This window comes from Homo sapiens, chromosome 7 (genome assembly GCF_000001405.40).
Source record: "Homo sapiens chromosome 7, GRCh38.p14 Primary Assembly".
NCBI lineage: Eukaryota > Metazoa > Chordata > Mammalia > Primates > Hominidae > Homo > Homo sapiens.
The window spans coordinates 19,671,815-19,694,933 of NC_000007.14; the positions used below are offsets into that span (position 1 = coordinate 19,671,815).

The window sequence follows — 23,119 nt, forward strand, 5'->3', positions numbered from 1 at the left end:
AAGGATATAAAAGAAAAAGGATATAATCATACACTGATGCAGGAAAAACGTTTGAAAAAAATCCAATTCATGATAAAATTTTTAAGCAAACTAAGAATAGAGAAAATTTTCTAAAATTTTTTTGCTAGAAAAAATAAGAGTTATGCAAAAAAAAAATCTACATACCACCATTCTGAAACAAGCCTCTTTTTGAAACAATTAATACTTAATGTTGAAAGACTGAATGCTTTTTCCCTAAGTTTGGGAAAATGTAAGGATGTCCTTTCACAGCAGTCATAGTCAGCGTCATAAGGGAAGCTCTATTTAGAGCACTAAAATAAGAAAGAAAAGGTATGCATATTGAAAAAAGCTGTTTTTATTTGGAAATGACATGATTGCCTATGCAGAAATTTCAAATAATCTACGCAATAATTTCTGCAACCAATAGGTTAATACAGCAAGGTCACAGATTATAAAGTGAATATATAAAAGCCACTTTCTTATCTATACACCATCAGTGAACATTGGAACTTAAAATTAAACAATACATTTACAATAGTGCCAGAAATGAAATACTTGTAGATATAATTCTAACTAAGTATGAATACCATCTGAATGCAGAAACTGCAAAACATTGAATGAAGAAATCATAGATATAAGTAAATTGAGAGATATTCTATATTAATGAATTTGAAGGTGTAATATTACTGAGATGTTAAATCTTCCTTTAATGGAATTCTAATAAAATTCCCATCAAGTTAAGATTTTTTTAAAAGCCTCTCAATGAACAAATTGGGCAAAAGATCTAAATAGACACCTCTCCAAAGAGATAGACGGATGGCAAATAAGCTTATGAAAAGATACTCAATATACATTAGGGATATACAAATTAAAACAACCATGAGATATGACTGCACACATTAAAATGTCTAAAATAAAATAAAATAAAAACCCTGACAATACTAATTACTGATAAGGTTGCAGAGCAACAGAAAGTCCATTGCTGATGTGAATGTAAAATGGTACAACAAATTTGGAAGACAGCTTGACAGTTTCTTACAAAGTAAAATGTAGCCTTATTATGCAATTTAGCAGTTTTCTTCTAGGTATTTAGTCAATTGATTTGAAATGTTGTTAGGAGCTTTATTCATAATTGCCAAACTGAAAGGAGCCAAATCTCCTTCAAAAGGTGAAATAAACTTCCATTCAGTGGAATAGTACTCAGCAATAAAAAGGAATGAGCTATCAAGCCATGAAAATACATGTATTCATTTTAAATGCATATTGCCAAATAAAAGAAAGCATTCTGAAAGGCTATATATATTGTATGATTTGGTTATTTGCCATTCATGAACTGTCAAAACTGTAGAGATGACAAAAATATTAGTGGCTAAGAGAGGCTTAGAACAAGAGGAAGAGTTAAGTAAGTGAAGCACCATGCATTTTTTTGAGCAATGTCACTATTTTTATGACACCATAATGATGGATACAAAATACTGTGTATTTGTCAAAACTCACAGAACTTTACAGCAAAAAGAGAGGCTTAAATATGCAAATTTCTTTAAAAATTATTTAAGAGGTCATAGGACTCCTAGGATGAAATTTAGAATGTAACAGTAGCTCTGTCATCTTATTATTTCTTTACCATTTGTTCTCTTTATTCTTTGTTTCTCTGTTTCCTAGCTTCTGCCTTATTTTGAATTATTTGAATAATTTTTAATATTCCACTTCAGCTATATCTCTTCGAATAGTTTTTCATAGTGGTTGCTCTAGGAATTAAAATAGACATGGTTAACTTTTCATCATCTACTCTGAATTAATATTTTAATTTAAAGGGAATGTAGAAACCTTATCATATAGATAGGTCCCTTTACTCTGCTTCATTTGTCTTGCAGGTATCATAAGTGTTGCACATATATACACTGAAGCACCATCATATATATTTTATAGAACTTTAGAGGAGAAATATTATCTATCGTATTTACCCCGATGTTTGCCATTTTCATTGTTCTCCCTTTATTCTTAAAATTCTTTCTCTCTAGTAGCAATTCCCTTTCATCTAAAGATCTTTTAGTATTTCTTTAAGAGTAAGTCTGCTATTAACAAATTCCCTCAGCTTTTCTCAATCTGAGAAGGTATTTATTTATCTTTCAATATTTTAAAATCTTTTTCCTCTTGTTCAGATTAGATCATTTATATTAATCTGTCTTTAAGTGTACTGATTTCCTCTGTCATCTTCATTCTGCTGTCAAGCATACAGTGAAATTGTTTTCACTTGTAATTTTCAGTTCCAAAATGTCCATTTGGTTTCTTTCTATATCTTTCTCTGCTGAGACTTTCCAGCTTTCCATTCATTTCAGGTGTGTTCAATGTACTTACTTTTTGGAACATGGCTATAATAGCTATTTTACAATCCTAGTCTAATAATTTCAATTGCTATGTGTTGGTATTTATTGTATTTTACCTAGCAACATGCTGAGATTTTCCTGGTTCTTATATATTGAACAATTTTGGATTATATCTTGGGTCTTTTGAATATTATATGACTCTGGGTTTTATTTTAGTCCTATGGAAAAATACTCATTTATTTATTTACTTGCTTGTTTGGGCATGAAATTGGCTTGTGAGATTAAAGCAGCAAGTTTATACCTGCTTTCTGTGGGCTGTAGTTTCAATGTTAGTTCAATTTCAAATGCAACACGATAGCTACTATGAGACGTGGATGGCAGTCTAAATTCACAGTTCAGTTCTTGAATCCTTCTACACACTGTTTAGAGTCAAATTTGAAAATAGTTACAGGGCAAGGACAAAAGCAAATACAAAACTTTAGAGTATTGCTTTCTTGAGCTCTCTCCTCTCTATACTCTCCCAGTGGTTTCTAACTCCCAGAGGCCCTTCTCACTGATCCTCTTCATAAAAAGCTGTGGCTTTAGTTTCCTACTGTGTCATGCATTCCTGAAAATGTGTCTGCATCCAGAGCCAAGTGGTGAGAGGGTAAAGAGAGAAAAATAAATTATTGGACATTCTCCCCTCTTGAGATCAGATTCTCTGGTCAACGATAAAACGCCACTCTCTTAAGTTTTAGGCTGTTGACTACTCACTGATGCTGTTGCTGCCATTGCTGCTACAGGATTACTTGGAAGGTGGCGCCAAAAGTAACACACACACAAAAAAGAAGAAAATTGTCCCACTCTCGTTGACTCACAGGGGCCTCCTTTCCTGCTCATCGGATGGCCTAGAAATAGGTTCCTTTGGAACTCTTTCTGTCTGCACCCAGTGTACATTTCTTGACTGCTTTTAAGTTTAGGTCAGAAGATACTGGGGGAAAAAAATGAGAAACTCACTATTGGTTGTATGGTATATTACTTTCTAGTTTCCTTTGCCAATTCACTGGTTGACAATAACCAGAAGCACCTCTAAAAAGTATTAAATGTAATTATTTTTCATGTGATAGCATTTTAGTTAATGTATATTGTGAAAGACTTTGGAGTGTACTTCAAGAGCTCCTTCATCTGTGTGATGACTCTAGGGATAAAATGGAATTAGATAGACATAAGGTGGAAGGGATAATTATTTTCTGAGAAAAAAATATTGCACTGAATTTCCAAATATATTAAGAACTTAGCAATGAAATATTAATAAACAAAATAAATCAGTTGATCTGTGATTTATAGTTAGAAACACTAATTGAAACGAAATAGCATCAAACAAATGAAGAACTGAGTTTCCAAATAAAAATCAGAAAGGGTAGGAAGCTCTCATCAAGCATATTAGCATTTATATTTGTTGATTTTTAAAGTTCTTTTGATTATTCTGCTATAGGAATGACTGTTTATATTATATAATATACAAAAGATGCAAGCAAGAAGAAGAGAAGGTAAAATGGTACATGTACATGGGAATGATGTGGAAAAGTTAATTTGATTAAAAAAGAGACAGTATCATAAATTATTTCAACCATTGTGGAAGACAGTGTGGCTATTCCTTAAAGACCTACAGAAACACCACTTGACCCAGCAATCCCATTAATGGATATATACCCAAAGGGATATAAAAAATTCTATTATAAATACACACAGACGTGTATGTTCATTGCAGCACTATTCATAATAGCAAAGACATGGAATCAACCTAAATGCCCATCAATGATAGAATAAAGAAAATGTGATACATATGCACCATGGACTACTATGCAGCCATAAAAAAGAATGACATCATGGCCTTTGCAGTGACATGGATGGAGCTGCAGACCATTATCCTTAGCAAACTAATGCAGGAACAGAAAACCAAACACCACATGCTCTCACTTATAAGTGTGAGCTAAATGATGACAACACATAGACACATAGAGGGGAAACAACACACACTGGGGCCTGTCAGTGGGTGAAGGGTGGAAGGAGGGGGAGGATCAGGAAGAATAACTAATGGGTACCAGGCTTAATACCTGGGTGACAAAATAATCTGTACAACAGACCTCCAAGACACAAGTTCACCCATGTAACAAACCTGCACTCATACCCCTGAACTTAAAAAAGAAGATATGAAAAAGTAAGAGGAGTTAGGAGACAAGAACCATGAGAAAGATATTATTACTACTCCCTGTGTGGATTGTAAAATTGGAATGTTTATTTTAATTCTCTACAGGAGCAAAAAATTAAAAAATAATGAATACATTTTTCTAAATGGGGATATGAGAAATTAAAGTTCCTCATTAATGTTCTCTTATTTCCACTCATTAGTAACATTCAGAAGGCCCAGGATACTTTCCTTTCTTTAGTCTCATTCTATTCATAGAAAACTTGAGCTATTAGAACTTGTTACCTGGTTACCTCTAGAAAAAATTATATGATGTCTTATTAAGTTTATTTCAGATTTTAAAAAGGATAAAAATGCAGTTGACTTATTACAAATAAAATCACTTCTTCTATGAGATAACTTTAATCCAATTACATTTATCCTTGTGTTTTATGTAATGATCTATGTACATTTTTTGCTCAATTTTACACTATTATAATCAATTTTACTCTGCCTTAATTTGTACATCTTCAAGTTATTCTGAGGTTACTTTGCCATCCATTTAACAGTCATGAAGTCCTATTATTGAGTTATTACATTACTTTAATCTTGCTTAAATCTGTCTGGTCCTTAATTATTTCTCTTCTCAAAATAATCTTCAATTTGTCAGCTAGGCCCATAGTTTTATATATACTATTATACTTTTTACCATAATAGCATGGCTTTAACTTTTAACTATAATAAGTACTTGAAAGTTTTAAAGATATTTTTCTTATTGACTTTTAGGATTGGACATAGTTTGCATTAGAAAAACCATGAGCACAATTGCCAAAAAACATTGGCCATAATACTTCTCTCTTCCACATTCATTATATCACACATTTAGAATTTGAATGACAAATAATTGGAACTGAAATATAATAATGTAACAGACCAGCTGTCCTGCAGCGTTAAAATAGAGTGAGGAAGAATACAACTATAAACACTGTTTCCTCTTTCGAAATAACTCATTTATCCTTCACTTTAGAAAGCATAAAATATAGTAGTCCCCTTTTATCTGTGGTTTTGCTTTATCTGATTTCAGTTACTTGTGGTCAACCAGTCTGAAAACATTGTATGGAAAATTTCAGTAATAAATACCTCATAAGTTTTAAATTGTGCACCATTTTTAGTAGCTTGATGAAATCTCACACTGTTCTGTTCTGTCTTTTCTTGATCCCAAGAAGGGTAGGCCATGTGCAGTGGCTCATGCTTCTAATTCCAGCAATTTGGAAAGCCAACGCTGGAGGATCGCTTGAGCCCAGGAGTTCAAGGCTGCTTTGAGCTATGATCACATCCCTGCACTCCAGCCTGGGTAATAGAGCAAGACCCTCTCTCTTAAACAAGGAAACAAACAAAAACAAACAAAAAACTAGAAGGAAGTGCAGTACAATAAGATATTTTGAGGGAGACACCATATTTATATAACTCTTATTACAGTACTCTTATTACAAATTGAACTTTATCATAGGCATGTATGTATAGGAAAATACATAGTATATGTATATATATATATATATATATATATATAGGGTTTGGCAGTATCCACAATTTCAGGCATTCACTGGGAGCTTTGGAATATATCCCTCATGGGGACTACTGTATTTTTATAATATTTACTAACTCAATTGCTGACTAATTCATAATAAAAACCATTGTTCATCTGCTCCCCGTCCCATATACATACCTGTTTTATGTGTTTTTTGGGTTTGGTGTTTAAAAGACTAAACTAAATCTTACTAAGGTAGAGTTCCTTAGGTTCTTTGAGAAATGTATTAAATATTTTATGAAAGTAACGTCATAGTGACTTCCAGATTTACTCTAAAAAATCTTGCCCATTTTGTGAGAAAGGTGACATAATCGGCTGTCCAAAGATGGGTCTCTACTATGAAGGAAAGTGAACCAATCTGCGTAATTTGGCCATTGTGGTGAGCAAAACGGACCATTGCTCAAAAGATTTTCTTTAGTTCAAGAGTTTCTTTGTAGAGGAGGAGACAATGTAAGGACCATCCGTTAATCATACTTATAGCCTTCTTGGCACTCAACAGAACACCTGCAAATAGTAGGCATTTAATGCACAGTTTTTTTTTTGTTTTTAGTTGGTTTGTTTGAGACGGGATTTTGCTCTTGTTGCCCAGGCTGGAGGGCAATAGCACAATCTCGGCTCACTGAAACCTCCACCTCCCGAGTTCAAGTGATTCTCCTGCCTAAGCCTCCTGTGTAGCTGGGTTTAGAGGCGCCCACCAGCATGCCTGGCTAATTTTTGTATTTTTAGTAGAGATAGGGTTTCACCATGTTGGCCAGGCTGGTCTCGAACTCCTGACCTCACGTGATCCACCTGCCTCGGCCTCCCAAAGTGCTGGGATTACAGGCGTGCACCACTGCACCTGGCCAATGCACAGTTTTTAAAGTTTAAAAATAAAATGTAATACAAACCTTCTTCTCTCATCAAAATCATCCATTTAACTTGGCCACTGTGTTATAAAATAGGGAAAAGAAAAAACAAGAGGTAGGAAAGATGTTATAGTTTCAAATTACTGAATAAATAAGATCCATTCATATCTAGAACAGGGTAGGTATAAGTCTAAATATTCTCCTCAAATAGTGAACATGCTACATACAAGTGTATCTTCACAGTGCCCATATGCAGCTGAGTAATCACTAAATTCAGCCTTGTTCAAATGAGGGAGAAGAGTGGTATCTTACTTATTCTAGCTGTGCATATCTATCAGAAATCTGAGCAACTTTCTATCATACTTAAAACAATATTTTGAAAGCCTGCTTAAACAATTCAACAAGCTTACTTCATCAACATGTCAAGTCTTTACTATATCCAGTCATTAGCAATAGTAAAGAGCTCTTTGGTTGAAAGAAATGGAACCCCTTCAAAAAGGCCCAAGTTAATAGGATGTTTATCACAAAGAGAAAAATGATCTCATGGAACACAACAGCAAGCAACATTGCTAGGCCTTCAATGAAGTAGATGTTTGCCTGGCAGTTAGCCTCTCACACTCTATCCTTGTGAAAAGATACAATGTATCATTTTCTCATAGACGATGCTCTCTTGCAAAGTTCTAGATTTTACTTTTTAGTGATTGTAGCTTGCACCAGAAGAATCTGGTTGGCTCTTTTTCTGACATTCTCTCTTCTCTCCATAAATTTACAGTTCCAGTTTCCAACAGAAATATAACATGGTGTTTCAGTCTATGTTTTTATATCCCAACATTTTTGGAAAGAGAACATGGTTATTCCAGCTTGGGTCATTGTTCATCCATGATCAAATCAATACGACTAGAAAACTGTAGTTGTATGATACAAAGGTTGCCCTTCTTAGGACTATGGGCCAGAACTGGGTTAAAAAGGATGTAAATGCTAAGAGAGGAAATTCATTTCTAGTTACATCTAAAGTGCATTTCCCTTGCCACTTACCAGTAATGAGGATTTTAAATTACACACACACACATTACCTTATGCTACTAACTCACGTGCTTTTATTGCAGTACTGGACTTCCAGGCTAGGTATTTTTAGAGATTTTTTAGTATTATATATGTCTGAGAATAAAAAGAAAGCACACCTGGAATCAATAATTTAAACTTACTGGAAGATAAAATAACCAAAAATTAACATCTGGAAACTACTACATCATCTGTCAAACAGGAATGATACTATTTGATCTCATTATGGCATATGAGTTGAAAACCTATGAATATATTCTTTTTTTGTAATTTGAAACCAAAATAGATAAGGCATATTACATGTGCCACTTAATACACAAACATTTAAAATACTGTTTTCTAATTAAGTCTTCAGTTATCCTTGATATAATTGATCATCAAATAATTATTAAGCAAACAACAGTACTTCTTTCAAAATAGTTTCTTTAGATTATTGGACATGGTTGAATAATGTCAAACGTACAAAGATATAAAATGAAATCAACTTGCTCTGAACTCATCATATCTCATTCTCCGTCTTGCTCTCTCTGCTATAGTCACACAAAAATTATTGTTGCTCTTGTTATCTTTCAGAAATATGAAACCCAGGCCACTCCTCATGTCTTTGAGCCTCTTCATTGACTGTGTCCTCACTTTGAAATTCTCTTCCTCTAGAATCTATTTCTTTCAAGTATTTGCTCTGATTTCACCTTCTAGTGAGGCCTTTACTCACTACCGTTTTTACAATTGCAATTGTTACCCTCACCACACTGACATATCTTTTGCCACTTTTTTTTTTTTTTTTTTTTTTGCCTCCACAACATTTATCATCATCTGGCATACTACCTACTTAGTTCTTTTTTGTTCTCCTCCTGCTTCTAAAATATATGCTGCATTGGCAGGCAATGTTGTCTGTTTTGTTTCCCTAATAAGTGCTCAAATCAGAGTTTATCACATGGTTGACATCCAATAAATATTGATTGCATGACTGAATGGCTCAGAAGAAAAAGAAAACACAAACAAAAAACCAGAAATCTCCAACAATCACAAGGCAAATGGCTCTTTAATGTGAGGGTACGTTCACATTTACCTCACAAAATAACTTGGGGCCACCAGAGACTATTAAGTCTAGGCCTTAATGTACATTATCATGTGACATCAAATAGGCTGTGTAGCCTGAAACCAAAATTAACAGAAAATAAATTTTTAAGTTTTAAAAGCTATGCATATGAACATGATAAATTACAAGCAAAGCTCTTTCATTTTATCAGAATTATAAAGATGTCTCAAAGAAAAATGGATAGAAACTCTTCAGTTATGATTTGTAGAACCATAATGTTCTCTGTTTGAGGTTAGATCAGTCAGTTTTATGACTTTAGTTGTTTCTGTCTATAAACTATTTGGGAAAAATCCAAAGCTCACTTTGGAATGCACGTGAAGAGATTTTACTTACTACTCCAATGTTCTCTCTTCTCTTCTCAAGTCATAGGTGTTCTTACAACTAATAGATTGAGGAGGAAAAAAAAATACATAGAAAATACATTTTAAAATGTAAGTCTTACTACACACATAATCACTTTCAAGACATTAGAAAAATGTCAGAAATAAAGTTGGCCTTAGTCTTTTCTTTTTCTTCTTCTTTTTTAAAATTCGTGCTTAGATCCCCTCCAGTTCAAGTCTGCCTGCCTTTGAAGTGTTAATAATTGTGGACGTTTTGGAAACTAAGGAGAAGTTTTCACCATTCGTTTTTTTAAATGTGTTGGCAGTACAGGTTTTATAAATTTTGAAATAAATCAAACTAAAATGTAGAGACAGTTAACAAAGAAACCCAAATTTAGGCTAAGAGCACATATTATTTCTTTTTTGCTGTCACATGGATTGGTAAAATGTATACAATCTCTAATGCTTGGCTGGAGGAAACAATACCTCAGCTTTTTTAAAGATCTGACTGCACCCACAACTCAGGCACTTTGGCAGCACCCTTTGTTTTCATTTGTTTGTAATGTATGGAGCAATAAACAGTGTGCCAGTACCCCAGGCTATAGTATCTATGGTAACTTAAAAAATTGGATCGGAGACTGGAATAAACTTTGCTGCGTCAGGGCTGGCAATAATTAATCAGTGATTTAAAAAATAAATGGCTTCTGGCTGGGCAGGGTGGCTCAAGTCTGCAATCCCAGCTCTTTGGGAGGCCGAGGCAGGCGCATCGTGAGGTCAGGAGTTCAAGACCAGCCTGGCCAACATGGTGAAACCCCATCTCTACTAAAAATACAAAAATTAGCTGAGTGTGGTGGTGGGCACCTGTAGTCCCAGCTACTCAGGAGGCTGAGACAGGAGAATCGCTTGAACCCAGGAGGCGGAGAGATTGCAGTGAGCTGAGATGGTGCCACTGCACTCCAGCCTGGGCAACAGTGCGAGACTCTGTCTGTAAATAAATAAATAAATAAATAAATAAATAAATAAATAAATAAATGGCTTCTGATATGGTTTGGATGAATCCCCACTCAGATCTCATCCTGAATTCCCACTTGTTGTGGGAGGGACCTGGTGAGAGGAAATTGAATCATAGGGGCAGGTCTTTCTCATGCTGTTCTCATGATAGTGAATAAGTCTCATGAAATTTGATGGTTATATAGAAATGGGAGTTTCCCTGCACAAGCTGTCTCTCTCTTTGCCTGCTGCCTTCTATGTAAGATGTTACTTGCTCCTCCTTGCCTTCCACCATGATTGTGAGGCCTCCCCATCTATATGGAACTGTAAGTTCAATAAACAGCTTTCTTTTGTAATTGCATGGTCTCCATTTGTCTTTATCTGCAGCATGAAAACAAACGAATACAGCTTCCTTCCCATGTTTTTTAATTTATGATTTTTAAAAGGAGGAAATGGATGATCATGTATTTCATATTATAAAATACAAACTTCTATCACTATAAATAAGTTTATAAATGCCTCTCCCAGTCCTCCCACCAGTTACGACCCCTTGTACATATTACCTTTAGGTCATGAAAACAGAACATACGTCAGTCAAGTTGATGTTCCCAACTTGACTGATACATTGAGCAACAGCCTCAGCTTGCAATTTGCTGGTAGATTCTGGTGCTATATTTACATGGAGTAGGATGACTCTCCATTACTTTATAATGTTCCTACTACTATCTTGTGCCTTTTCTCGCTCAATGGAAGATGTAACTCAGTCAAGAACCCTATGAAGAAAGAAAACACACAAAAAGAAAATTTCATCATTTCAAAATGATTATTAGGATGAAAATAATATGTATATTTGGTACCTGGGATAGAAGTCATGTTTTGGAATGTGTTCCAAGTAATAATAATTCCTCTTTTGGGGGGGAATTGTTCTCACCTTTTAACCCCTCTTTCATAAATCTGGATATCAGACAGTCATCTTAGTAATACGAGCAGTGAATCCATCCCCAAATTGGCCTGGATTCTCCCACCTGGGGATCTGCAATTGGTACTGAGAGCCAAAGAATTAATCTCCATGTGATTGGAACTGCAAAGTGACTGTATGGAATACATATGAAAGACTGAGAGAAACTACTGATGCTTTCCAATAACTCTTTTTTTTTAAAATTTTTTTTATTATACTTTAATAAATGTGTACATGTGCACATTGTGCAGGTTAGTTACATATGTATACATGTGCCATGCTGGTGCGCTGCACCCACTAACTCGTCATCTAGCATTAGGTATATCTCCCGATGCTATCCCTCCCCCCTCCCCCCACCCCACAACAGTCCCCAGAGTGTGATATTCCCCTTCCTGTGTCCATGTGATCTCATTGTTCAATTCCCACCTATGAGTGAGAATATGCGGTGTTTGGTTTTTTGTTCTTGTGATAGTTTACTGAGAATGATGATTTCCAATTTCATCCATGTCCCTACAAAGGACATGAACTCATCATTTTTTATGGCTGCATAGTATTCCATGGTGTATATGTGCCACATTTTCTTAATCCAGTCTATCATTGTTGGACATTTGGGTTGGTTCCAAGTCTTTGCTATTGTGAATAATGCCGCAATAAACATACGTGTGCATGTGTCTTTATAGCAGCATGATTTATAGTCCTTTGGGTATATACCCAGTAATGGGATGGCTGGGTCAAATGGTATTTCCAGTTCTAGATCCTTGAGGAATCGCAACACTGACTTCCACAATGGTTGAACTAGTTTACAGTCCCACCAACAGTGTAAAAGTGTTCCTATTTCTCCACATCCTCTCCAGCACCTGTTGTTTCCTGACTTTTTAATGATTGCCATTCTAACTGGTGTGAGATGGTATCTCATTGTGGTTTTGATTTGCATTTCTCTGATGGCCAGTGATAATGAGCATTTTTTCATGTGTTTTTTGGCTGCACAAATGTCTTCTTTTGAGAAGTGTCTGTTCATGTCCTTTGCCCACTTTTTGATGGGGTTGTTTGTTTTTTTCTTGTAAATTTGTTTGAGTTCATTGTAGATTCTGGATATTAGCCCTTTGTCAGATGAGTAGGTTGCGAAAATTTTCTCCCATTTTGTAGGTTGCCTGTTCACTCTGATGGTAGTTTCTTTTGCTGTGCAGAAGCTCTTTAGTTTAATTAGATCCCATTTGTCAATTTTGTCTTTTGTTGCCATTGCCTTTGGTGTTTTAGACATGAAGTCCTTGCCCATACCTATATCCTGAATGGTAATGCCTAGGTTTTCTTCTAGGGTTTTTATGGTTTTAGGTCTAACGTTTAAGTCTTTAATCCATCTTGAATTGATTTTTGTATAAGGTGTAAGGAAGGGATCCAGTTTCAGCTTTCTACATATGGCTAGCCAGTTTTCCCAGCACCATTTATTAAATAGGGAATCCTTTCCCCCTTGCTTGTTTTTCTCAGGTTTGTCAAAGATCAGATAGTTGTAGATATGCGGCGTTATTTCTGAGGGCTCTGTTCTGTTCCATTGATCTATATCTCTGTTTTGGTACCAGTAGCATGCTGTTTGGGTTACTGTGGCCTTGTAGTATAGTTTGAAGTCAGGTAGTGTGATGCCTCCAGCTTTGTTCTTTTGGCTTAGGATTGACTTGGTGATGCGGGCTCTTTTTTGGTTCCATATGAACTTTAAAGTAGTTTTTTCCAATTCTGTGAACAAAGTCATTGGTAGCTTGATGGGGATGGCATTGAATCTGTAAATTACCTTGGGCAGTATGGCCATTTTCACGATATTGATTCTTCCTACCCATGAGCATGGAATGTTCTTCCATTTGTTTGTTTCCTCTTTTATTTCACTGAGCTGTGGTTTGTAGTTCTCCTTGAAGAGGTTCTTCACATCCCTTGTAAGTTGGATTCCTAGGTATTTTATTCTCTTTGAAGCAATTGTGAATGTGAGTTCACTCATGATTTAGCTCTCTGTTTGTCTGTTGTTGGTGTATAAGAATGCTTGTGAGTTTTGTACATTGATTTTGTATCCTGAGACTTTGCTGAAGTTGCTTATCAGCTTAAGGAGATTTTGGGCTGAGACAATGGGGTTTTCTAGATATACAATCATGTCATCTGCAAACGGACAATTTGACTTCCTCTTTTCCTAATTGAATACCCTTTATTTCCTTCTCTTGCCTAATTGCCCTGGTCAGAACTTCCAACACTATGTTGAATAGGAGTGGTGAGAGAGGGCATCCCTGTCTTGTGCCAGTTTTCAAAGGGAATGCTTCTAGTTTTTGCCCATTCAGTATGATATTGGCTGTGGGTTTGTCATAGATAGCTCTTATTATTTTGAAATACATCCCATCGATACCTAATTTATTGAGAGTTTTTAGCATGAAGGGTTGTTGAATTTTGTCAAAGGCCTTTTCTGCATCTATTGAGATAATCATGTGGTTTTTGTCTTTGGCTCTCTTTATATGCTGGATTACATTTATTGATTTGCGTATATTGAACCAGCCTTGCATCCCAGGGATGAAGCCCACTTGATCATGGTGGATAAGCTTTTTGATGTGCTGCTGGATTCGTTTTGCCAGTATTTTATTGAGGATTTTTGCATCAATGTTCATCAAGGATATTGGTCTAAAATTCTCTTTTTTTGTTGTGTCTCTGCCTGGCTTTGGTATCAGAATGATGCTGGCCTCATAAAATGAGTTAGGGAGGATTCCCTCTTTTTCTATTGATTGGAATAGTTTCAGAAGGAATGGTACCAGTTCCTCCTTGTACCTCTGGTAGAATTTGGCTGTGAATCCATCTGGTCCTGGACTCTTTTTGGTTGGTAAGCTATTGATTATTGCCTCAATTTCAGCTCCTGTTATTGGTCTATTCAGAGATTCAACTTCTTCCTGGTTTAGTCTTGGGAGAGTGTATGTGTCGAGGAATGTATCCATTTCTTCTAGATTTTCTAGTTTATTTGTGTAGAGGTGTTTGTAGTATTCCCTGATGGTAGTTTGTATTTCTGTGGGATCGGTGGTGATATCCCCTTTATCATTTTGTATTGCGTCTATTTGATTCTTCTCTCTTTTTTTCTTTATTAGTTCTTGCTAGCGGTCTATCAATTTTGTTGATCCTTTCAACAAACCAGCTCCTGGATTCATTAATTTTTTCAAGGGTTTTTTGTGTCTCTATTTCCTTGAGTTCTGCTCTGATTTTAGTTATTTCTTGCCTTCTGCTAGCTTTTGAATGTGTTTGCTGTTGCTTTTCTAGTTCTTTTAATTGTGATGTTAGGGTGTCAATTTTGGATCTTTCCTGCTTTCTCTTGTGGGCATTCAGTGCTATACATTTCCCTCTACACACTGCTTTGAATGCGTCCCAGAGATTCTGGTATGTTGTGTCTGTGTTCTCGTTGGTTTCAAAGAACATCTTTATTTCTGCCTTCATTTCATTATGTACCCAGTAGTCATTCAGGAGCAGGTTGTTCAGTTTCCATGTAGTTGAGCAGTTTTGAGTGAGATTCTTAATCCTGAGTTCTAGTTTGATTGCACTGTGGTCTGAGAGATAGTTTGTTATAATTTCTGTTCTTTTACATTTGCTGAAGAGAGCTTTACTTCCCAGTATGTGGTCAATTTTGGAATAGGTGTGGTGTGGTGCTGAAAAAAATGTATATTCTGTTGATTTGGGGTGGAGAGTTCTGTAGATGTCTATTAGGTCCGCTTGGTGCAGAGCTGAGTTCAATTCCTGGGTATCCTTGTTGACTTTCTGTCTCATTGATCTGTCTAATGTTGACAGTGGGGTGTTAAAGTCTCCCATTATTAATGTGTGGGAGTCTAAGTCTCTTTGTAGGTCACTCAGGACTTGCTTTATGAATCTGGGTGCTCCTGTATTGGGTGCATATATATTTAGGATAGTTAGCTCTTCTTGTTGAATTGATCCCTTTACCATTATGTAATGGCCTTCTTTGTCTCTTTTGATCTTTGTTGGTTTAAAGTCTGTTTTATCAGAGACGAGGATTGCAACCCCTGCCTTTTTTTGTTTTCCATTGGCTTGGTAGATCTCCCTCCATCCTTTTATTTTGAGCCTATGTGTGTCTCTGCACGTGAGATGGGTTTCCTGAATACAGCACACTGATGGGTCTTGACTCTTTCTGTGTCTTTTTTTTTTTTTTTTTTTTTTTTTTTTTTTTTTTTTTTGAGACGGAGTCTCGCTCTGTCGCCCAGGCTGGAGTGCAGTGGCGCGATCTCGGCTCACTGCAAGCTCCGCCTCCCGGGTTCACGCCATTCTCCTGCCTCAGCCTCCCGAGTAGCTGGGACTACAGGCGCCCGCTACCACGCCAGGCTAATTTTTTGTATTTTTAGTAGAGACGGGGTTTCACCGTGTTAGCCAGGATGGTCTCGATCTCCTGACCTCGTGATCCGCCCGCCTCGGCCTCCCAAAGTGCTGGGATTACAGGCGTGAGCCACCGCGCCCGGCCCAGTCTGTGTCTTTTAATTGGAGCATTTAGTCCATTTACATTTAAAGTTAATATTGTTATGTGTGAATTTGATCCTGTCATTATGATGTTAGCTGGTTGTTTTGCTCGTTAGTTGATGCAGTTTCTTCCTAGCCTCGATGGTCTTTACATTTTGGCATGATTTTGCGCGGCTGGTACCAGTTGTTCCTTTCCATGTTTAGTGCTTCCTTCAGGAGCTCTTGTAAGGCAGGCCTGGTGGTGACAAAATCTCTCAGCATTTGCTTGTCTTTAAAGTATTTTATTTCTCCTTCGCTTATGAAGCTTAGTTTGGCTGGATATGAAATTCTGGGTTGAAAATTCTTTTCTTTAAGAATGTTGAATATTGGCCCCCACTCTCTTCTGGCTTGTAGGGTTTCTGCCGAGAGATCTGCTGTTTAGTCTGATGCGCTTCCCTTTGAGGGTAACCCGACCTTTCTCTCTGGCTGCCCTTTACATTTTTTCCTTCATTTCAACTTTGGTGAATCTGACAATTATGTGTCTTGGAGTTGCTCTTCTCGAGGAGTATCTTTGTGGCGTTCTCTGTATTTCCTGAATCTGAACGTTGGCCTGCCTTGCTAGATGGGGGAAGTTCTCCTGGATAATATCCTGCAGAGTGTTTTCCAACTTGGTTCCATTCTCCCCATCACTTTCAGGTACACCAATGAGACGTAGATTTGGTCTTTTCACATAGTCCCATACTTCTTGGAGGCTTTGCTCATTTCTTTTTATTCTTTTTTCTCTAAACTTCCCTTCTCGCTTCATTTCATTCATTTCATCTTCCATCGCTGATACCCTTTCTTCTAGTTGATCGCATCGGCTCCTGAGGCTTCTGCATTCTTCACGTAGTTCTTGAGCCTTGGTTTTCAGCTCCATCAGCTCCTTTAAGCACTTCTCTGTATTGGTTATTCTAGTTATACATTCTTCTAAATTTTTTTCAAAGATTTCAACTTCTTTGCCTTTGGTTTGAATGTCCTCCCGTAGCTCAGAGTAATTTGATCGTCTGAAGCCTTCTTCTCTCAGCTCGTCAAAGTCATTCTCCATCCAGCTTTGTTCCGTTGCTGGTGAGGAACTGCGTTCCTTTGGAGGAGGAGAGGCGCTCTGCTTTTTAGAGTTTCCAGTTTTTCTGTTCTGTTTTTCCCCCATCTTTGTGGTTTTATCTACTTTTGGTCTTTGATGATGGTGATGTACAGATGGGTTTTTGGTGTGGATGTCCTTTCTGTTTGTTAGTTTTCCTTCTAGCAGAGAGGACCCTCAGCTGCAGGTATGTTGGAGTACTCTGCCATTTGAGGTGTCAGTGTGCCCCTGCTGGGGGGTGCCTCCCAGTTAGGCTGCTCGGGGGTCAGGGGTCAGGGACCCACTTGAGGAGGCAGTCTGCCCATTCTCAGATCTCCAGCTGCGTGCTGGGAGAACCACTGCTCTCTTCAAAGCTGTCAGACAGGGACATTTAAGTCTGCAGAGGTTACTACTGTCTTTTTGTTTGTCTGTGCCCTGCCCCCAGAGGTGGAGCCTACAGAGGTAGGCAGGCCTCCTTGAGCTGTGGTGGGCTCCACCCAGTTCGACCTTCCTGGCTGCTTTGTTTACCTAATCAAGTCTGGGCAATGGCGGGCGCCCCTCCCCCAGCCTCGCTGCCGCCTTGCAGTTTGATCTCAGACAGCTGTGCTAGCAATCAGCGAGACTCCGTGGGCGTAGGACCCTCTGAGCCACGTGCGGGATATAATCTCATGGTGCGCCATTTTTTAAGCCCATTGGAAAAGCGCAGTGAGGTCTAGCTGCATGCTGGTCCCAGAATTCCTATGGCACCTTGAATTTTCATAGCAATTCTCATGCTGCTTTTTGTTAGTTCATTAGTTTGGTTTTTAGCTTTAGTAAATTCTGGTAGGTTTTATTTGTTTGGGAACAAATAATTCTAAATTAAAATGTTGTATTAGGAGAAGATAAATTTTTTTGTGGGAGATTCTTGTTTGCTCCAACAGTGCCTATCCAGTTGGAAATGCTAATTGAATGGAACAAGAAGAGAATGTGGCTCTAAAAAAAAAAAAAGCAAAACAAAACAGAACAAAAAATAGAGTTGTATATAATTGACATGTAGCTTGAAAGTGAGCAAAATTAGAGCTTTTCTTATTTAAAATAGATTTGAGAAGTTCTCCTCTCTTCCAAGGGTGGATTGTGCAGACCTTCTGCCTGCATTTGAAGGGGAACATAACAAAGGTTCTGCCCATTGGATTCCTGGGACTAAGGAAGTATACTTGTTTCCATGGACATCCTTTGTATTTCTGTAATAATTCAGCCTTAAAGTGGTTAGAAGTTACAAGGAGAATTAGAATGTTCTTAAATTTTATTTACTCAACAAATATGTATGGAGTATCTACTATGTTACCAGCACTGTACCAGCACTGGTATTATTCAGAGGCAATCTGGACCAATTCTGATCCTACTCTCACAAAGGGAGATGGGCAGAGTTCCTGCTCTCATGGAGGAGAAGAGACAGGAAAAAGAAGAGGAAGGGGATGTCATGGTTTTTGTACTATGGAAGTCCAAGAAGATGGTTCTGGCTTCAGGTTCTCTGACTGTAGGAATTCAACAAATATTATCCATTGACTTCATCTCTCTGCCTCTATTGTCCTCTGTGTTTCCATGTTGGGAAAACCTGACAGCCAAAATAGTCACCAGAACCTCTAGATCCTACTAAGAGCCAGTGATGTATGTTAGGTCCTCTGAAAAGCAGACACCTAAATGTGATTAAACATGCAAGGATTTTATTAGAGAAAATGCTTGTGGGAGAAAATGGGAAAGGCACTGGGACAGACAGGGTAAGCTGTCAGAACACAGTGTAAGTTTGACCCGGAAGGAAATAGAAAGGAAAAGAAAGGTGGAAGCATTATAGGCTGCTATGTAATTTACAGAAGATTCCAGGCAGGACCATCAGGGAGTCAAGCCAAAGTTGGCTACTATGAGTCCTGTATGTCCCAGAAATGGGTCTGCCTTCATATCTGTGCTGCAAGCCAGCATTGGCTGGGAGCGGCAGTAAGAAGCATGGCTTTGATGCAGATGTGGTGATGGATTTCAGAGCACAGCAGCTAGAGCTCATAGCCAATTAAGCTCCACTTTGAAGGTCTGTGAGGTGCATTCTCATGGCTGTCACATGGTCCAAGAGACAATAAAACCTTCTTTCCTGCAGGATCAAAATTATTCTAAAAACTCACCCTGACATTTGTTTAATCACTTGGTTATTTTAGGACATATGACTCACGAATTGAGGTCACAAGTGGACCCAAGACTGGATCCCATAATTGTACCTTCCCATGTGAATCCATGTAGTAGAGGAGAGATGGATTCTAAGAGAGATTCTTATAGGCATCAAATACACCATATTTTGTGTGTATTTATGCACATGTGTGAGAGATCCTGACAGAATACTCTCTGAAATGAATGATTAAACAAAAATATTTCACTACCTAGTGTTCTAAGCTATTCATACCCAATTTTTTAGACAAAAAAATTAGCAGATATCCACTAGTATGTGACTGTATATACATACAAATTGTATGTACGTGTGTGTAGTATAACAAGATGTTAATAGTGTATTTTACAATGAACATATGTTTTAAAAGAAAAAATACATAAACAATAAGTAACTTGAAGATAGTTTTCTAATAAGAAACTCAAAACTGAAAAAGCATTAATAGTTTGATATTAAAGTTGAAATAATGGTTTTCATAATTATATATTGCATCTGGAATTGCTGGGTTCTTGGTCTCGCTGACTTCAAGAATGAAGCCGCACACCTTCGCGGTGAGTGTCACAGTTCTTAAAGATGGTGTGTCCGGAGTTTGTTCCTTCTGTTCAGATGTGTCTGGAGTTTCTTCCTTCTAGTGGGTTCATGGTCTCACTGTCTTCAGGAGTGAAGCTGCAGATCTTTGTAGGGAGTGTTACAGTCTGGAGTCATTTGTTCCTCCTGTCCAGAGTTGTTCGTCGCTCCTGGTGGGTTTGTGGTCTCCCTGGCTTCAGGAGTGAAGCTGCAGACCTTCGCTGTGAGTATTACAGCTCATAAAGGCAGGGCAGACCCAAAGAATGAGCAGCAGCAAGAGTTATTGTGAAGCGTGAACAAACAAAACTTCCACTGTGTGGCAGGGGACCCCAGCACGTTGTCGCTGCTGGCTCAGGCAGCCTGCTTTTATTCCCTTATCTGGCCCCACCCACGTCCTGCTGATTGGTCCATTTTACATAGAGCTGATTGGTCCGTTTCACAGAGAGCTGATTGGTCTGTTTTGACAAGGTGCTGATTGGTGTGTTTACAATCCCTGAGCTAGACACAGAGTGCTGATTGGTGCATTTACAATCCTCTAGCCAGACATGAAAGTTCTCTAAGTCCCCACCAGATTAGCTAGATACAGAGTGCTGACTGGTGCATCCATGAACCCCGAGCTAGACACAGAGTGCTGATTGGTGCATTTACAATCCTCCAGCTAGACATAAAAGTTCTCCAAGTCCCCACCTGACTCAGGAGCTCAGCTGGCTTCACCTAGTGGATCCCACACAGGGGCCGCGGGCAGAGCTGCCTGCCAGTCCCGCACCGCACACCCACACTCCTCAGCCCTTGGGTGGTCGATGGGACCAGGGGCCGCGGAGCAGGGGGTGTTGCCCGTTGGGGAGGCTTGGCCTGAGTGGGAGCCCACAGTGTGGGGGAGGCTCAGGCATGGCAGGCTGCAGGTCCTGAGCCCTGCCCCGTGGGTAGGCAGCTGAGGCCTGGTGAGAAATCGAACGTGGTGTGGGCAGACCGGCACTGTTGGGGGACCCGGTGCACCCTCCACAGCTGCTGGCCCAGGTGCTAAGCCCCTCACTGCCCTGGGCCGGGGGCACCGGCTGGCTGCTCCGAGTGCAGAGACCACCGAGCCCATGCCCACCCAGAACTCGTGCTAGCACAGCCCCAGTTCCCTCCTGTGCCTCTCCCTCCACACCTCCCTGCAAGCAGAGGGAGCCGGCTCCGGCCTCAGCCAGTCCAGAGAGGGGCTCCCACAGTGCAGCAGTGGGCTGAAGGGCTCCTCAAGCGCGGCCAGAGTGGACTTGGAGGCCGAGAGCGAGCGGGGGCTGCTAGCACGTTGTCACCTCTCAATATGAAAATATCATTATGTACATTTGCATAAATTATAACAATCTGTAGTGATATTTAGTATACGTATGCGTTACTTAAATGACGTTAACTGACTTTATCCTTTGGGTGAGGTGATGCTGAGACAATATTGCACAAGTCTCTTGAATTTCTGCAAACCTTGTGAACAGAGGTACTTACAGATTTTGTTCCAGACTAACTTTTCAAGAATGTTTAGATAGTTAAAGCCTTGGGAAATAAAAACAGTGCCCCTTCTAGAGCAGAAGACAACATACAGAAGTAAACAAAAAGATTTGTTTATTTTCCAGTGTAATAAAGATATCTTCCTCTGGGGCAAAGATTGGGCATTTTATATTTATATAAAATGATTGCAATCCATTTTATATAAATCACTGGAGTTCCCTAAGCATGGAGTTTCTCAGCTGTGACACAAACTCCTTTCATGCACAGTAGCTCCCTACGACTCTGCATTGTTCCTATAGGACTTGGGGTGCAAATGGGAACTGGCTGGTACAAACATGGAGCTTATTGAGGTGCAGTGAGTAATAATTAAAGTCCTTTTGTCTCTGATTTAGGAGTCTTTTGTCTTAAGCTAGCATCCATGAAGCTGTGGCAGAGTAACTTATTAGTTTGCAAATTGGATGAAATCTTAGACTCTTCACAGTTCTTTCCTTCAATAGATAGCAGTATCAATGATACTCAGGATTCTCTAAGTGAAAGGAACTTTTAGATAATCTGGTTTCCAATTCAGTGTTCTCATTTTATAGGTAAAGAAACACAGCTTAGAGAGGTCAATAAAATTGTTTATAAAAACTCCACCCAATGGGGTTAAATCACTGTCATTTACCATGTAAATTTTAAAAGTAAGAAATAAAAATTGGGTGTGAATATCTTAGAACACTAGGCACTTAAATATTTTTGTTTAATCATTCATTTCAGAGAGTTGGTATTCTTTCAGGCTCCCTTGCACATAGGCATAATTACACACAAAATATGGTATATTTGATGCCTATAAGAATCTTCTGCAACTGGTGATCTTGTCTATAGGCAACCAAATTTGAGATATTAGACTGTAACAAGTTATGGTGGGATGCAGAATTAGCAGGAACTTCTCTCCTGTATTAGATACATTGTATTTAGCTCTTTCTTGTCCATAATCTCATAAATTTGTAGGTCATTTTAATTACTAATGCATTCTACTTTTAAATGCTAAATTATGGTCCTCTTTGACGGCTTTTAGCTTCTATTTCCAGCTGTTTACTAAGAATGGACGAGGTATTTCATGTGTCCTTGTTTTTCTGTGACTCAATAAGTGCCGGAGCATTTTCTAATTATAGCCAATGAATGTGGAACTAATTACCTACAACTATACAGACTGCAGCTTATTTGCTATTGAAATCCTGGTTGTAGACTTAGGTTTGTTGATTCTGCCTTTCCCCCCTATTTACTCCAATTTTATAACTTACTAAATTTTTGTCTTACTAAAAATTTTCAAACATATTCAGGACGAGTTATCAAATCAATGTGAGTAAGTAGGAACAAGTCTAGCATTCAGATAAAACAACTGGGCTTTAAGGTGATTCAGTGTACCAAATATTTATTTCAAAGAAGTAGAAGACAAAATGATGCCATGAAGTTAGTTCCTACTGCCAAAGCGGAGATTTGGATGAGAAAAGAGTTTAGACCAAACATCTGAAGATCTTTATGTTTAGTAAGGAGAGCCAGTGATATTCTGAGTTGAAGATGGGTTGAACTTTTCCATGAATTGTCCAGGAAAAATACCACAAAAAGTCACATAATGTGCAGAATTATCCATTATTTTTCAATTTTGTTCTCACTGTATGATATATAAAATCTATTTTAAAAGTGTTTTTCTACTTAAAAAATAACTATTCATTTCAAGTGCCTAAAGAATATTTTTTAAGAATATTTTTTAAAACTGAACTATGTACTGGCCCCCTGAAATACCTCCATTTCTAAAGGTAGGAATCAGAGCTTACCTTTGGAAGTCACAATGTACAATACAGCTGGAAATAAGCAATTAAACTAACAATGAAAGCTTTTAGAAATGTTAACAATACCCTTTTAAGAGGGAAAATACAAACCTAAATATCTATCCTTGGGAAATGAAATAAATTATACACTGAAATTCTGCAAA

The 23,119-nt window shown here is 38.0% G+C and overlaps 2 annotated features.

The window, feature by feature from the left end:
* Positions 17,047–17,547: an enhancer, noted in NCBI's record as "NANOG-H3K27ac hESC enhancer chr7:19728484-19728984 (GRCh37/hg19 assembly coordinates)". NCBI's record gives its function as "activates a minimal SCP1, AML or CMV promoter by ChIP-STARR-seq in naive H9 embryonic stem cells {active_cell/tissue: H9 hESC(naive)}" and the evidence as "EXISTENCE:reporter gene assay evidence [ECO:0000049][PMID:30033119]".
* Positions 20,167–20,667: an enhancer, noted in NCBI's record as "H3K27ac-H3K4me1 hESC enhancer chr7:19731604-19732104 (GRCh37/hg19 assembly coordinates)". NCBI's record gives its function as "activates a minimal SCP1, AML or CMV promoter by ChIP-STARR-seq in naive H9 embryonic stem cells {active_cell/tissue: H9 hESC(naive)}" and the evidence as "EXISTENCE:reporter gene assay evidence [ECO:0000049][PMID:30033119]".